Source organism: Homo sapiens, chromosome 18 (assembly GCF_000001405.40).
Source record: "Homo sapiens chromosome 18, GRCh38.p14 Primary Assembly".
Classification (NCBI taxonomy): domain Eukaryota; kingdom Metazoa; phylum Chordata; class Mammalia; order Primates; family Hominidae; genus Homo; species Homo sapiens.
Genome location: NC_000018.10, coordinates 55257491 through 55271346, shown reverse-complemented (window position 1 = coordinate 55271346; position 13856 = coordinate 55257491). Strand labels below are relative to the sequence as shown.

The following is a 13856-nucleotide window of genomic DNA, read 5'->3' as shown; positions in this document are numbered from 1 at the left end:
GGGATGCAGAACTATAAGCTCTATTCCTTTAAAGAGTTTACAATACAGGTGAAAATACATTAGAAAAAGCAAGAAATGAAAGGCCAAATATAATTAAGTGTTAAAGACAATAGTGCAGAATGTAAGTGCATTAGGGACCTAGAGAGAAGAGATGGTGGAAGAGTTGGAGGTAGTCAGGGACTCTTCAAGAAAGAGGTAGAATTCAAGACGGATCTCACAGAGTAAACAGGGCAACACTCAAGAGACTATGGTTTCATTCCTCGTGAGCAAATGCTTGGGTTTTAAATACCCGTGACTATCAGCATCATATTCAATCTCTTATTTTGAAATAAACAATTTTTAACAGCATTTCCAATAATGATATAATAAAGACTCATAATCCATTAATATATTGCATATGAAGAAAAAGTGTATTTTAGCTTTAATATATTGCCTTTACATAACACATTCAGATGCCTATGAGAATAACTTTTGAAGCTGCTTTTTATCTTGAAAATAGCTCAGCACTTTTTTGTAAATTACTATGTCCATTTTAGTGAGCTGTTCATTCCCAAGCAGATGGGTGGATTGCAACTAATTTGCCACCTTACAGGCACTGTGGCATACCCAAGAAACACAGCTTATTTGGAAAACTAATATAATAATTAAACTCAAAGCAGAGTCTTAAACCAAGTGATTCTGTAAAGATGTTGTTCTTTCATTGCCAGCTATGTGAGGATTGCTTGTAGGTGGGGCATGGAAAGAAAGTACTCAAACCAAAATAAGTCATGTGGTCCTAATTTAATTCAGTATAGTCAATAGTTACATATTGATGAGTAAGAGAGATATTTAACCATTAGTGCTTTTTAAATTTTTTATTTACTAAATTTTATTGTTGCTGGGGTTCAAAAAAATTTAATTTGGGAGGAAGAAGATTTGAGACTGGTTAGTCTTTGCCATTTAGTTTCAAGAAGATCAGGATGAAATGTAATATAAGCCCTGTGGATCATAATGTTGTTTTATTCATTATATAGTGGAATCTTTTTCACTTGATCAATAGGCCACACAAAAAAATTAATAGTAGAGTGGTCTTTTATGTTGCCGAAACCCTGGAGATGATTTTAAGCAGTAATCTGTAGATTTCGAGATTGTGATCATTTCTCAATGTCCCTCATTGCCATTATATCCCTCCACAGTTGATGCAAACCCAAGCTATGTTTCTGTATAACTTATTATTTGAAAAATGAAAGCTGTCAGATCTAAACAAGATATATTCTTGGCTATTTTGAAATTCTAAAAGCTGTCTCCATTGTAAAATAGAGAGTTGTGAGAAAAGTATTTGAAAATAACTCACTAAATACCTTATGATTAAATATGGCCACCTTTTTCTGCTTCTTGCTATAGAGCTATCCATCACACTCCTCAGCAGACATCAATTCCAGTCTTCCTCCGATGTCCACTTTCCATCGTAGTGGTACAAACCATTACAGCACCTCTTCCTGTACGCCTCCTGCCAACGGGACAGACAGTATAATGGGTGAGTCACAGAAATGCCAATTCTGATACCAACAATTGGTGTCAGAGTTTAATCATCAAGGACCTCTTTTTCCCTTTCATAACTGAATAGCAATTAGGCACTAAATATTAGTCACATGACAGAATGAACACACAAATGTACCAAACAGAAGTAAAATCACTGGCTTGAGCATAACCATATTTTTCGTCACAAGACACTGAAATTTAGCTACGTTCTACGTTGCAAGTCATTAGATTGAACAAGGGTTCAAACAGACCAAAACTATCTTGTTCCTCACATTCAAAAAGAGTGAACAAAGTCATAAGATGAGCCATCAGTGACTAGTGAGCTACAAAGCAGAATAGCTCTTAATGGTAGTTATTGACCACTTCCCAAAATTCCAGTCATTGTGCTAGGCTCTTATCCATGATGTGCCACTGTCTTCCGAGGACTGGTTAATGTGAAATTCTCAGGTGACTGCTAATAACTACATGAGGTTAATCTCCTGGAGAATGTGACACTGTGGAGTCCCTCAGAGGGGAAGAAGTATTTGTTCACTTATGAGAGAGGAGATGCGTGGGCATCAGTTGGCCAGAAATTATTTGCTGCTTTTTTAAATTAATTAATTAATTAATTTTTACCAAGGACATTTACTAATGAGTTAAGGTCCAAGAAGAATGCTGTTCCCATGAACTGAGCCATCATCCTCTCATTTCTTGTGATGTTCACTGTAGTCTTTTCCATAGGTGGTTCCCCAGTCAGTATTCCCACTTTGAGGAATGAACTGGGCTGGATGTCCAGCTGCCCCTGGAGGGAAGAGGTGGAGTTGGTGGGGAGATAGCTACCTGCTTCTGAACCAGCTTTGACACCTTGTTGTTCAGATGAGCAGCACAGCTTAGTGCCCCAGGGTCTTATTAAAACCTCAGACTTCTCAGGTAGTCACTTTCTGCGGTTATAGCTCAAACTAACTCCTTGCTTGGCCTGAATGTCACTGTCAGAGCGTCGGTGGGGAGAATACTCAGTGTATGTCTTTGAGAGAAGATGGCGCAACAGAATAATGCTGCTGTTGAGTCCTCTTAGCTCTTTGCACTTGTTTTCTTTAGAGAGTGTGTAGAATTTGGGGAAGTGGCGTGAATCACTTATGTAGGAAAGTTTTTGATGTTGGAGGAGAGATGTGTTTTGAAATGTTGGAAATATAATTTCTGCCTCAATAATGCCCTCCCTGCGTATTCAATAATATATCTCACACTTGAGATGAGCTATCTCGCAGCCTCTCCACTCCGCTATCCTGTCTAAGAAGCAAATTGAGGAGAGAGTTTCCATTTTTTTTAACTTTTCCTAACCAAGCTTCTACAAATATGTTGCATCAGTTTGACCTTGGAGAGCTACAGACAGAGGTCACATGGGGAAGTTTGTTAGCTATCAATGCAGTTTTGGCAGATTTGAAAAACAAGAAGAAAGAAAGCAGTGCAGAACTGAAAGAGTGAGAAAAGCATATTTCACTTCAGTGTGGTTTGACAAATGGAAAGCCCCTTTCTGCAGTCATGAGGTCTGGTTATAAAGAAGGATGACCGGTCATTCATCCTTTTACAAGACAGATTTCCTGTCTACTTGTGGTTTGAGTAATTTTCTTTTTTAGGAAGGTATGAAGGTGGAGCAGAACCTTGAGTTGAGGAAAACATACTTAGGCTCTGTTTGAAAAAAAACTTTTTCTGATTGATTTGCAAAACAGTCCTCTTGAGAGAGAGGCACTATGACTTGGAAGGGACATATCAGGAAATAGGGTGGTTATCTCCATGAGCTGTAGACAGCTTAGCCACAGCTCTCAGTGGGAATGAGTTTTGCTTGGTTTTAGCTGGTCATCTTCATTAGTTTGTGGATGAACAGGAGAATCTACTTGTTGGTCTAGCCAGAGTGGAGCAATAGGTGACTTCTATATGCTGAGAATAGACTTAACTTGTTAAAAACCATAGGGCCTTATTTAAGGGTCTTGACAATAATAAAGGAGCTATAATTTAAAAACAAAAGTATGAGATTTTTAGAACCCAGAAAAGGGCTTTTTAGAAATTTATTTCATACATTATTTTACAATAATGGATGCACTTGTCAAAATCCACTAGCGGAATGAGAAAAAGATGCATAATCTTTAAGGAAATAGGTAGACATGGTAATTCAGCATTTTGGAGGAGCAAACCTTTATTATTATGCATAGATACAGATATTACTTTAAGGTTACTTTAAGGGAGAACATTCTAGAATGTTTTTCTTTAAAATAATATGTTCACCAATTGCGTACGTGAAAATGCAGAGGAAAATTTAAGCATAATAAGCCTTAGTATTGCGTGATGTCTGAGTGGCCCATGTTTTTTCACACTTAAGTTCTCTTAGGCTTTGGTTTGATTTTTTGAGTGTGGTAGAAGTCAGTGATGGCAGCGTGTCTGTATAACAAGAAGAGAAGCTTTCTCTTCTGATGTTAGTGATACTACCCTAACAAACAGTATGGATTAATAGGATACATCTGCAGACTTTTGAAAATATTTGGCATATACTCACTCATTCTGAAACGCAGGAAGTAAAGAAATATTACGTTGCCTGTATCTCAAAGAACAAACAGAGCTAATTAAATAATTGGCAAATAGGGAACACATAGCCTGACACATGTTTGAGATTACACACGATTCTGTAGAAAATGACTGTAAGCAATACTAATGCCTTAAGAATGGGGTTCGAGCACTAACACATGGACATCACATTTTTCACGTTTTCCTGGTAAAAAGTTGCAAGACAGTGCAGTCTTTTCATACATGGTGTTGATGTCTTAGGAAGCTGCTTTTTCAGTTCAGAAGAGGGCTGCTGCCCTTCGTCTCAGTGTCATGTTATAATATGTCTTTCTGGTGGTCAGCAGTTGTCCTGAACTGACACTAGAACAACGCAGTGCATGTGGGGTGAGATACAAGCTCTAGAACTCTCGGAAGGGAACCTCTCTGTAACCACATTCCCTTTCTTCTTCTGTTCTCTGCATCTCAAAGGTGGAAGATGCCCACTGAGGTTTGCTGTTTGTTTGGCTTGGGGGAGTGACCAGGTGTTTCTTGTTTTGTTTTCTTTTGCCCTATAATACCCAATATCATTTTTTGAGAAATCCATAAGAAGGATAAAGCTTACTTGGATTACATTAATGAGAGATTTTTTTTTTTTCATGACACATTCATCCATGGATTTTCAAGAGAATTGTAGAACAAGGTATTTTACTCATTGCATACAGTCCACTACTTTTCTCAAGCCTTGCTGGCAAACTCTGGAGATCATATTAGACCTTTCTGAATTGAAAAGGTCATCTAATTAGCCCTCCAATTAGAGGAATATAATGTATGGGACACAGCATGGATTCACAGTAGTTCAGCTGGTGGCGCACCCAGTTAAGGAAAGAAGCTGTCAGGGGTCTTTGGGAGTTACCAGCATCAGCACCTTCTACTCAGTTCTTCAAACTTTTTCAATGTTATGCCACTGGGTATTCTCAGAAGCAGTGCAGTTCAGTGCCTCTGCATCTGAGCATACATACGGAGGAGGAAGTGTAGTAAGTTATTAGATACCAGCTATAGAGAATAGGAATGTCTGCAGGATATTAACCATACACATTTGGTTAGCCACATACTTCCTTCCTATTTGCAATAATATCCAGTAGCCCTTCCTGATGGAAAGAAGTAAGAGGACCTCCTACCATAGCACAGACCACTGAGACTGCTCAAGGGTGAGAATGCGTCGTCTCCCCATTGGGACATACCATCTGTATACATTCACAGGGTGTGACCCTTTGTGGTTTGAGGCTACACACACTCCCTTGCCCTCAGAGAGAACTGGTCATATAACTAACATAATGGTTATAATAACTATTATTGTTTTATTAGTCTTTAACTGGCCTGCATTCTAATACGTGGTCTTTTCCACGTTTTTAAACCTCAAACCAAACAGGGTTGAAGGAACAGACTACCAAGATTGATTTAATACACCATATGCTAAAGATTACCCTGGAATATCTATCTGGTTCATGAATTAATCTGGCTTAGAACTTTAACTTCGAATGACATGTTAGTATGTGGCTTGTCTAGTAGAAACATTATGTCCTTTTCTCTTTGAGGACTTGGTTTCACAGTAATTTTATTATTAGAGTAGTCACATAATGTTCACTTTATATTTTACAAGAATATTGAGCCTTGAAGTAGTCAGGCGATGAACAAGCACAGAGCATAAGAGTAATAAGAATTGTATCCAGCAATGTGAAGGCATCTTAGTTACCAAGACCACCAGCAGAGAACAATAAACTAGTTTGATTTAAATCTCCTCCATTTCCTGTGCACGATCAGGAAGCCCAACTTCCCCCTGAATTCCTAGGAATCCCTCCTGTTAAAAAATAGTGCATTGTAGTCTATATACTTGCGTTTGTATTTTAAAATGGTTGTAGTAGGAGTGCTGGAAATGTTCCTTCTTTTTGTCATCTTTATAGATAAGCACATGGCATTGTTATGCTGTTTCTAATGGTTTAATAACACGAGGGTCACTCGGACACAGTTTAGAAAAACCTACTTTGAAAGCAGTCATCTTCTCTCAGGCAAACACAGTGTGAATTGTGCTGCTTATTCTTTTGATGCCTTCATGATGTTCCCAGCCTTAGATGATGGGTGTGCATTAAAGGGGCAACACATTTTCCAAATTCTGATTTTTAGTAGTTGATCCCAAGGCACCACTCATCCCAGTGTTTTGTTGAGGGTGTGTTCTAATGGGAATGAACATTTCCCCAAAGCTGAGGCTGAGACAGAGGGTGGTCTAGCATGTAACCCAAGATACAAAACCTTTCTTTCTGCTTCATCTTCTAGCCAGCAACACCACCTGTGTTCAAGCCATCTGAACAATACTTGGGTGGCAGGCAGTGTCGAAGCCTCCTACAAAAATTACAGTTCCTCTTAATAACTGCTCATCTTCCATTCATATTTGTATGTTACAGCTCTACTTAGGGACTGATTATATTTCTCTTGGGCAAGATAAATTGATTAGAGCCAAAATTAGAAATCGATAAAGTCTTTACCAAGCAAATGCATTAGTTTTCATCTTTCTGTTACATGGACATTTTGATCATCTCTAATATGAATTGACAAAAATCTTGGGCCTCAAAGAGTAATCAAGTCCTGTTACATCAAACCCACATTTTCAGCTTTAATGTATCTTGCTAAACATGGCCCACTTCTCAATGCAAAAAAAAAAAAAAAATTCTGCCACTTGAGAATTAAAATATATTTCTTTTCCAGTTATACCCTTTGTTATATCTGTCACACAAATAAAAAGAGAAATCTGTAAGAGAAAGACTCATGTAGCTTAACATGTTCAGGCAATCTAGAAAATGTAGCTTCTCCAGTGTTTCCTGGACCAGAACAAAAGGCATTCCAAGTGAAAGGGCAAACTGGCCCCAGTAAACTGCTTTGAAATTTAAGCCCTTGGGTTTGGCACTCCAGCTGTTGCAAGGTAAAATCGCTTCATGTTAAAAAATAGTCTGTTCTTATCAGTGGTTTCCATGGGTAGCCTTTGTAGTTTTCTGAAATATTTTCATGACGCGATGAGGTAAGAAGTTGATTCTATTTTTAATTCTATTTCCTGAGTCATAATATCTCCCTGCATAAAACAGGCACTGATAGAATGTTTAGTTAGAAAGGTGTAGTTCTAAAGAAATCAGATTGGTCATAATATCTTGCCTCTTCTAACGTGTGATTTTTGGGGCGTATATATTTAGTTTTTAAATGCTCCTAAAATATTTGTATTGGTTTTCAATACTTTGTTTAGTTTCATAAAAATATATATATTATTTGTAATCTTCATTTTAAAGTTGTTTAAAGGAAGAATTAATCTTTTGAAAGCCACTACTGTAGCAGATATTATCTGTAGTGAAGCAATATCTTGTTCTTTTTTGGCTTAGGTTCTTTGTTAGATAATGTGATTTTTCCAATGTAGCTCTGAACTTTTTGTGAAAATCTATATTCAAATCAAGCAGATATCACAGATTATTTTGACTGATAGATCTAATTTTTAGGTATATAATAATGAAAAGAAATATCGCTTCTAGGAAAAAAAAAAAGATAAGTACCCCCAAATACCATGGTAATACATACTGAAAAAAGGTTAGTATCATCTATATTTCACATCATTATTATTTTCTCTTTAGAATGGTTTTTAGGTTTGTTTGTTGTTCTTGTTGTTTGAGGCAGAGTTTTGATCCTGTTGCCCAGGCTAGAGTGCAATGGCGCAATCTCAATCTCGGCTCACTGCAACCTCCGCCTCCCAGGTTCAAGCGATTCTCCTGCCTTAGCCAGGCATAGTGGTGCATGCCTGCAATCCATGTTTTTAGTTTTTAAAGGACTCCTTAATGCAGAAATTCTTCTCATTTTCACACTAGATATAATTTGTTGTATTTTATCTTATATTAAATATTTTTAATACTCTTGATATCTGAGCTGCTCCCAGTGGTCCAATTGTATGATGTCAGACCCTCATTTCAAAGAACTTGCTTATACAATACCTATCATGAGTACTAATGACTCATGTATTTTAATATCATAACTTTGTGATATGGAAGTTTATTTTGTCACGAGATAATTGTGTTCTTCTTATCATGTGCCAGATTTCTTTCAGTATTTTAGCAATTAACAAATAAATATGGGTGTGGGTTTTGTAAACCAAATAAAGTATATATCAAAACATTATCGGCTGGGCACCGTGACTCAGTCCTGTAATCCCAGCACTTTGGGAGGCCAAGGTGGGTGGTTCATGAAGTCAGGAGTTCGAGACCAGCCTGACCAACATGGTGAAACCCTGTCTCTACTAAAAATACGAAAATTACTTGGCGTGGTGGCGTGTGCCTGTAATCCTAGCTACTCAGGAGGCTGAGGCAGGAGAATTGCTTGAACCCGGAAGGCAGAGGTTGCAGTGAGCCGAGATTGTGCCACTGCACTCCAGCCTGGGCAACAGAACAAGACTCCATCTCAAAACAAAAAAGAAAACTCATCTGACAAACTCAACATATAAATATATGAAAATAACAAGCATAAATTAGCTATGCTAAGCAGAGGTCAGGAGAATTAAATTATGACCTGGAAAAGCCATAGAATTGGACCACTGAAGATCCGACCCCACTACTGCATTTTACAAGTGTGGAAGGTGATGACAACACATTTGTAAGAAAGAAGGCTCTCTTAGTTCAAGAATGGGGCTGGAAAGTCTTTGAAATTATATACCTGTTTAATGAAGTTTTGCTTGGATTCATTGGGTGATTTAACCTTTCCTTTTCTTATTTCACAAAATAGTGAAAAACAATCTTCCCTCAGAACTTTAATAGGTTTTATTTAGATACTATGTCTATTTGCTAATGTTGAGGCTTTAGTAAATACAACATACCCCAAGTGCTAGGCATTCTGTTAATACTGAAGACCACAAGAATCCTGGAAATCCCATTTTATCACTTAGTTCTAAAGGCAAGATACCTTCCAATGATACATGTTAAAGAAAGCTGGCTTTGAATTGTATACTGTAATATATGTCTTTTATTATTCACAATACTCTTTGTTCTTCTCTTTTGTAGATAAAAATACCAGTGTTTAAGGCAGTAGAGATAAGCTTCATGAATATGTAGACTTACTTTATCTCTGGAATTCGAGGCCATATTGACTTTTAGTAGCATACCAGTTCACTTTTTTTAGTGTGAACACAGACTTTTAAATATGTGGAGAATATATGTTATTTAAAACATTAAAAATATTTTCTCTCCTTGTTAGCCAGACCTGTTGTGGAAATTTTTGTTTGTTTGTTTGGTGTACTGTAGGACTGTGAGACGAATACCCCGTTTTGCTATGTATCAAATTTCTATTTATTTGAAAACAGATGGAAGTTATTTGTGAAGATAATTCCATTTACTATAAAATAATATAAAGAAAAGCCAGACTCTGAGGACTCCAGAGACCTGAAAGTAGTCTATACTTGTCAGCAATGACCGTCACATAGCTTGCTACATTCACCAGCTCATCAACAGCAAGGGGAAAGTCATAGCAAGGAAACCACTTTATCTTTAAACCAAGGTGTCAGGTTTATATTTTATCTGTAAAAAAGTAACATGAATATATTTGACATCTACCTCAGCAAACAAATTAATGCTAATTAAAGATTAATGTGTTGTAATTAGCATTAAAAATGCAATTAAATTGTGAGTAAATGGACCAGGAATAGAAAATTGTTAGACGTCTCACTGCCTGGTTTTCATATTCTGCCTTTTGTTTTTGCAGCAAATAGAGGAAGCGGGGCAGCCGGCAGCTCCCAGACTGGAGATGCTCTGGGGAAAGCACTTGCTTCGGTGAGGAAATATTGACTTTGGACTCCATATGTACCATTGTAAAGGGTGAACTTTAATCAGAAGTGGACATTTGGAATTTTAGAAAATGAATGGCAAATAGCTTTGATTTTTGGAAAATGCTAGCTTTCTTGCATAACAGTCACTGGAAAATTTGAGAAGGCTCTGAAGCTTCCAGTATATAGTCTCTTTCTCTCATCCTCAAAATGGTACTAAGCTGCACTCAATTATGGATGTGGGAATATTCTCCTGGTCTTTGGGTTTATAGGTTTTTTATACTGATGTCTTATTTTTCTCTAAAGTAATATGGGTGCACATTGACCAGCTAAGACTGTCTTAGCAAGGAATAGTTCTAAAACACTTTGAAAGAGGCATTTGAAAAAAAAAAAAAAAAAAAAAGACAATAACTGAGGTCCATGAAGAACTGTCACATAATTGGCACCTGGGGGACTCAGCTTCTCTGCTTTGCCCACCTACTGCCAGAAAGCTAAAATTGAACATTTCTTGCATGTTCCCTGATGACAAAATGGCATACCTTCATTGTCTCAGAGAGTATATCTGGTATTTTAGTCAAAAGCTAAACATGGTCATTTAGAAATGTAAGTGGAGGGCCAGGTAGTGTGGCTCACACTGGTAATCTCAGCACTTTGGGAGGCCGAGGTGGGAGGATCACTTGAGGTCAGGAGTTCAAGACTAGCCTGGCCAACACGGTGAAGCCCTGTCACTACTAAAAACATGAAAATTAACTAGGCATGGGTGGCACATGCCTGTAATCCCAGCTACTCCGGAGACTGAGGCAGGAGAATCGCTTGAACCTGGGAGGTAGAGGTTGCAGTGAGCTGAGATCATGCCACTGCACTCCAACTTGGGTGACAGAGCAAGACTCCATCAAATAAATAAATAAATGTAAGTGGAGATTTCTTTCTCTAAGATTTTGTCTCTTCAGTTGGCTTTTACCATTGAGAGCATTAAAAAAGTTCACACTGTATTAGCATTGTGCCCTAAGTAAAAGTTTTTGTTTCATCTGGGCCTTCTGATGCTATGCAATCAAACGCCTAGATCTGGCAAAAGAGTGGCAAAATATCTTAGGAATGATCCTGTTCAACCTCTCATTGTGTAGATGAGGAAAGGAAAGTTCAAAGTATCTGCTTGGCTTGCCCATAGCCACACAGCCAGTAGGAACGAAGAGTTGGTTTGAAGTCTGCTGACCCCAGCCTGGCTCTTTTCCCACCATCCCATACCACATCAGTAATTCTTGTTTTGAAAAATTAAAATAATTGTTAAGTTCTTCATTTGACAATTTTGGTACTGTAGTTGATTATTACATGTATGCTGTAACTTGTAAGTTCTAAATGAATTGCGTTGACAACTTCGTAGTTTAGAAAAGTGTGAATTATTTTAATGAATGAGGGTGTTTTTTTTTTCTCCTTATTGTTTTAAGATCTATTCTCCAGATCACACTAACAACAGCTTTTCATCAAACCCTTCAACTCCTGTTGGCTCTCCTCCATCTCTCTCAGGTAGTGTATTTCAAATCCCATTTCATCATATAACAGTTTATAAGAATGATTCCCCCCTTGTACTTCCTGATTTTGTAGGTGGAAACTCACTTCCCCCCAAATCCCAAAGCTTTAACATTCCTATAACAGACAAATACAAAGGGTGGGAGAGACAAATTACCAGATAACAGTATAGTCGTTTACATCCAAACCTTTTCTTAAAAATTAGATTATCTTTTTAAAATATACAGGCATATGGAAAATGTATTTCTTACACTTTTCTTAGCTCTGCAGAAGACACCCAACGGCAGAATAATGTATTCCAATAAAACGTCTCAGATGAAAAAAACTCAGTTAATATAGTCATGAATATGAATATAGACTAGATAGTCATCAAATATAGACTATTTAAATGGATCATTTCCTGCAGGAATTTCAGGCTTTCCAAATTCCCTCTTTAAAGTACATGCCATTGGGATGTTTAGAGAAAACTATAATTTTGTAAATAAATTGTGAAATAATTGTGTGGGGTAGAAGGGATGTTTGACTTCAAAGTATAATACATTCGTATGACCTGTGGCTTCAAATTGAATAACTATAATTTGTAGAATTATGTCAGTAAATAATTTCACTTTTCAGGGGTCCGTTTAAGAGACTCATTGTCTTTCCAATATAAATGCTTCCAGAAAGCCTTCCTTGGTTCATGTCTCTGCTCTTTGGTAAGGAGACAGGTGGCTTATTAAAAAAACAAAACAACAGCAACAAAACCTAAATCACATCTGTACCTGATGGAAACCTTACCTTACTGTAATTTATAGTGGAGTTACTTGCGTTTGTTATTTCCTGCATGCAGCTCTCATGGCCCAGTGTAAACTCAGCTCCTTGGTCGAGGACAGGAGGTTTCACATTGCCACAAAACTTTCAGAAATGATGGCCATGGCTTAGCTGGGATTTAATGTCAACCTCTTCCAAGCCTCCGTGGTATGAGAAGATCACAGAATAGAGAGGGCAGTGGGATTCTGAAGTCTCTATGTCCAGAGAGACCGCGTTGAAACTGGGAAGCGATTGAGGTGATTTTAAGAGGATAATCAAACGTTCCCCCTGGTGGAAATAGAAACTAGAGTTCAGTATTGTTGTACTCCTCGGGTTCTGTACCAGATTCTTACACTCTGAAAAATGATTTCAATTGTCAGTAACCCCCTTTCGAGACAACAAGAGATACAACAAGGGATAGAGGAATCTGAGCAGGTGGAACTCCAGTTTCCACATTTCAAACAAAGTAGCTTTCATTTTATTCATTTTCTAATTTAGAAAAAGAAATGTTCTATGGTATCATAATGTTTGAGAACGACTAATGTAGTCTGATACCCTGATTTTACAGATGAGAATACTGAGTCCCAAAAAGGGAGTTGAGTTGTTGAGTTTATTACCAGTGGTAATAGCAGAGCTTGGACAAAAATCTGGTGCTCACAGTTCTGCCATCCATTTCTAGATTAATGGTGGGAAAGAAAAATTAGGATGCACAGTCATTCTAGAAAACATCACAAATTCCCTCGACCTGAGTAGCATGATCTCAGTGAAAGGCACAGAAACAAGGCTAGAGATGCCACTTTTTGGGTCTTGGTAATGCATCATGGAAGACCACATGTTAGGAAGAAAGAACTTTTATGAAGATGCAAATATGGGGACAGATTGCTATTTTCACACCGACGGCTCTGTCCAAATTCTGTCAAGAAAAGTAATTGAACAAAATATTCTATTTTTATTTAGCATAAAAATATACATGCACACCCAGAAAAGACAGGAAGAGTGGATTTTAAAAGTGCTAACAGTGTCGGGGCATGAGATTTCAGTGAGATCATAGCTATTATTTTTTCCTTTTTTGAATTATGTATTTTCCAAGTTTTCTACACTGAATGTGTATTATTTTACATTTAAAGTGTTTTTTATTTTGTAGGTTAGACATGTAATATGTATTCTAACAGCAATCTTTTTTTACCTTCAAGTTTAATGAATCATAAAAAAATTATTTTCTTCAGAAGAAACTTTTAGTCATTGCTGTATATTGACTTTAAATTTCTGGCTTAGTGGATCACTGATAACTAATCTTATTCCCTTAAAAAGTTTTTCAAGATTTATCTTTTTCTAAAGATTGTTTTAAAAACAAGTGGCAAAGCTGTTTTCCACTGGTGCGAGAATTTTGGTTTAACATAAACTAGCCTTGCATGAAGGTCTAACAAAATCCCATTTTTGTACCCTTAAAAGTACCTTGATTCCATGGTGATAGTTTTTCTTCCACAGGAACCCTTCTTACCAAAATTCAGAATCAATTAAATGTTCTCTTTTAGGAGACAGCCAGCCTGGGGGAATTGTGAGTCTATGTAAAGTCTACATATTTTACATTTAAAATGTTTTCCTTGTCCCAAAATTCTTATATGGGAAGTTTACATGTATTTACGTTGTTGTTTAAATGAAAATC

The 13856-nt window shown here is 37.2% G+C and overlaps 1 protein-coding gene across 46 annotated transcripts in view, besides 6 other annotated features; it reads left to right on the top strand.

Moving 5' to 3' along the window:
* Nucleotides 1-13856, top strand: part of TCF4 (transcription factor 4) — a 413773-nt gene that overhangs the window by 364611 nt on the left and 35306 nt on the right. For 45 of the 46 annotated variants that reach the window (NM_001243226.3, NM_001369584.1, NM_001369576.1 and 42 more), the window contains 3 exons: nt 1384-1516; nt 9814-9881; nt 11320-11398. In NM_001243226.3, coding sequence (NP_001230155.2) covers nt 1384-1516; nt 9814-9881; nt 11320-11398 — 280 coding nt within the window. Of the gene's footprint in view, nt 1-1383; nt 1517-9813; nt 9882-11319; nt 11402-13856 lie in introns of all 46 variants that reach the window. The other variant, NM_001369586.1, reaches the window with a different exon arrangement.
* Nucleotides 946-2145: an enhancer, noted in NCBI's record as "CDK7 strongly-dependent group 2 enhancer chr18:52936433-52937632 (GRCh37/hg19 assembly coordinates)". NCBI's record gives its function as "activates an origin of replication core promoter dependent on BRD2, BRD4, P300/CBP, MED14 and CDK7 cofactors, with strong dependence on CDK7, by STARR-seq in HCT116 cells {active_cell/tissue: HCT116}" and the evidence as "EXISTENCE:reporter gene assay evidence [ECO:0000049][PMID:35650434]".
* Nucleotides 2347-2396: a silencer, noted in NCBI's record as "silent region_9473". NCBI's record gives its function as "represses an Ori minimal core promoter by ATAC-STARR-seq in GM12878 lymphoblastoid cells {active_cell/tissue: GM12878}" and the evidence as "EXISTENCE:reporter gene assay evidence [ECO:0000049][PMID:35858748]".
* Nucleotides 2757-2806: an enhancer, noted in NCBI's record as "active region_13358". NCBI's record gives its function as "activates an Ori minimal core promoter by ATAC-STARR-seq in GM12878 lymphoblastoid cells {active_cell/tissue: GM12878}" and the evidence as "EXISTENCE:reporter gene assay evidence [ECO:0000049][PMID:35858748]".
* Nucleotides 2857-3086: an enhancer, noted in NCBI's record as "active region_13357". NCBI's record gives its function as "activates an Ori minimal core promoter by ATAC-STARR-seq in GM12878 lymphoblastoid cells {active_cell/tissue: GM12878}" and the evidence as "EXISTENCE:reporter gene assay evidence [ECO:0000049][PMID:35858748]".
* Nucleotides 4476-4585: an enhancer, noted in NCBI's record as "active region_13356". NCBI's record gives its function as "activates an Ori minimal core promoter by ATAC-STARR-seq in GM12878 lymphoblastoid cells {active_cell/tissue: GM12878}" and the evidence as "EXISTENCE:reporter gene assay evidence [ECO:0000049][PMID:35858748]".
* Nucleotides 6928-7207: an enhancer, noted in NCBI's record as "active region_13355". NCBI's record gives its function as "activates an Ori minimal core promoter by ATAC-STARR-seq in GM12878 lymphoblastoid cells {active_cell/tissue: GM12878}" and the evidence as "EXISTENCE:reporter gene assay evidence [ECO:0000049][PMID:35858748]".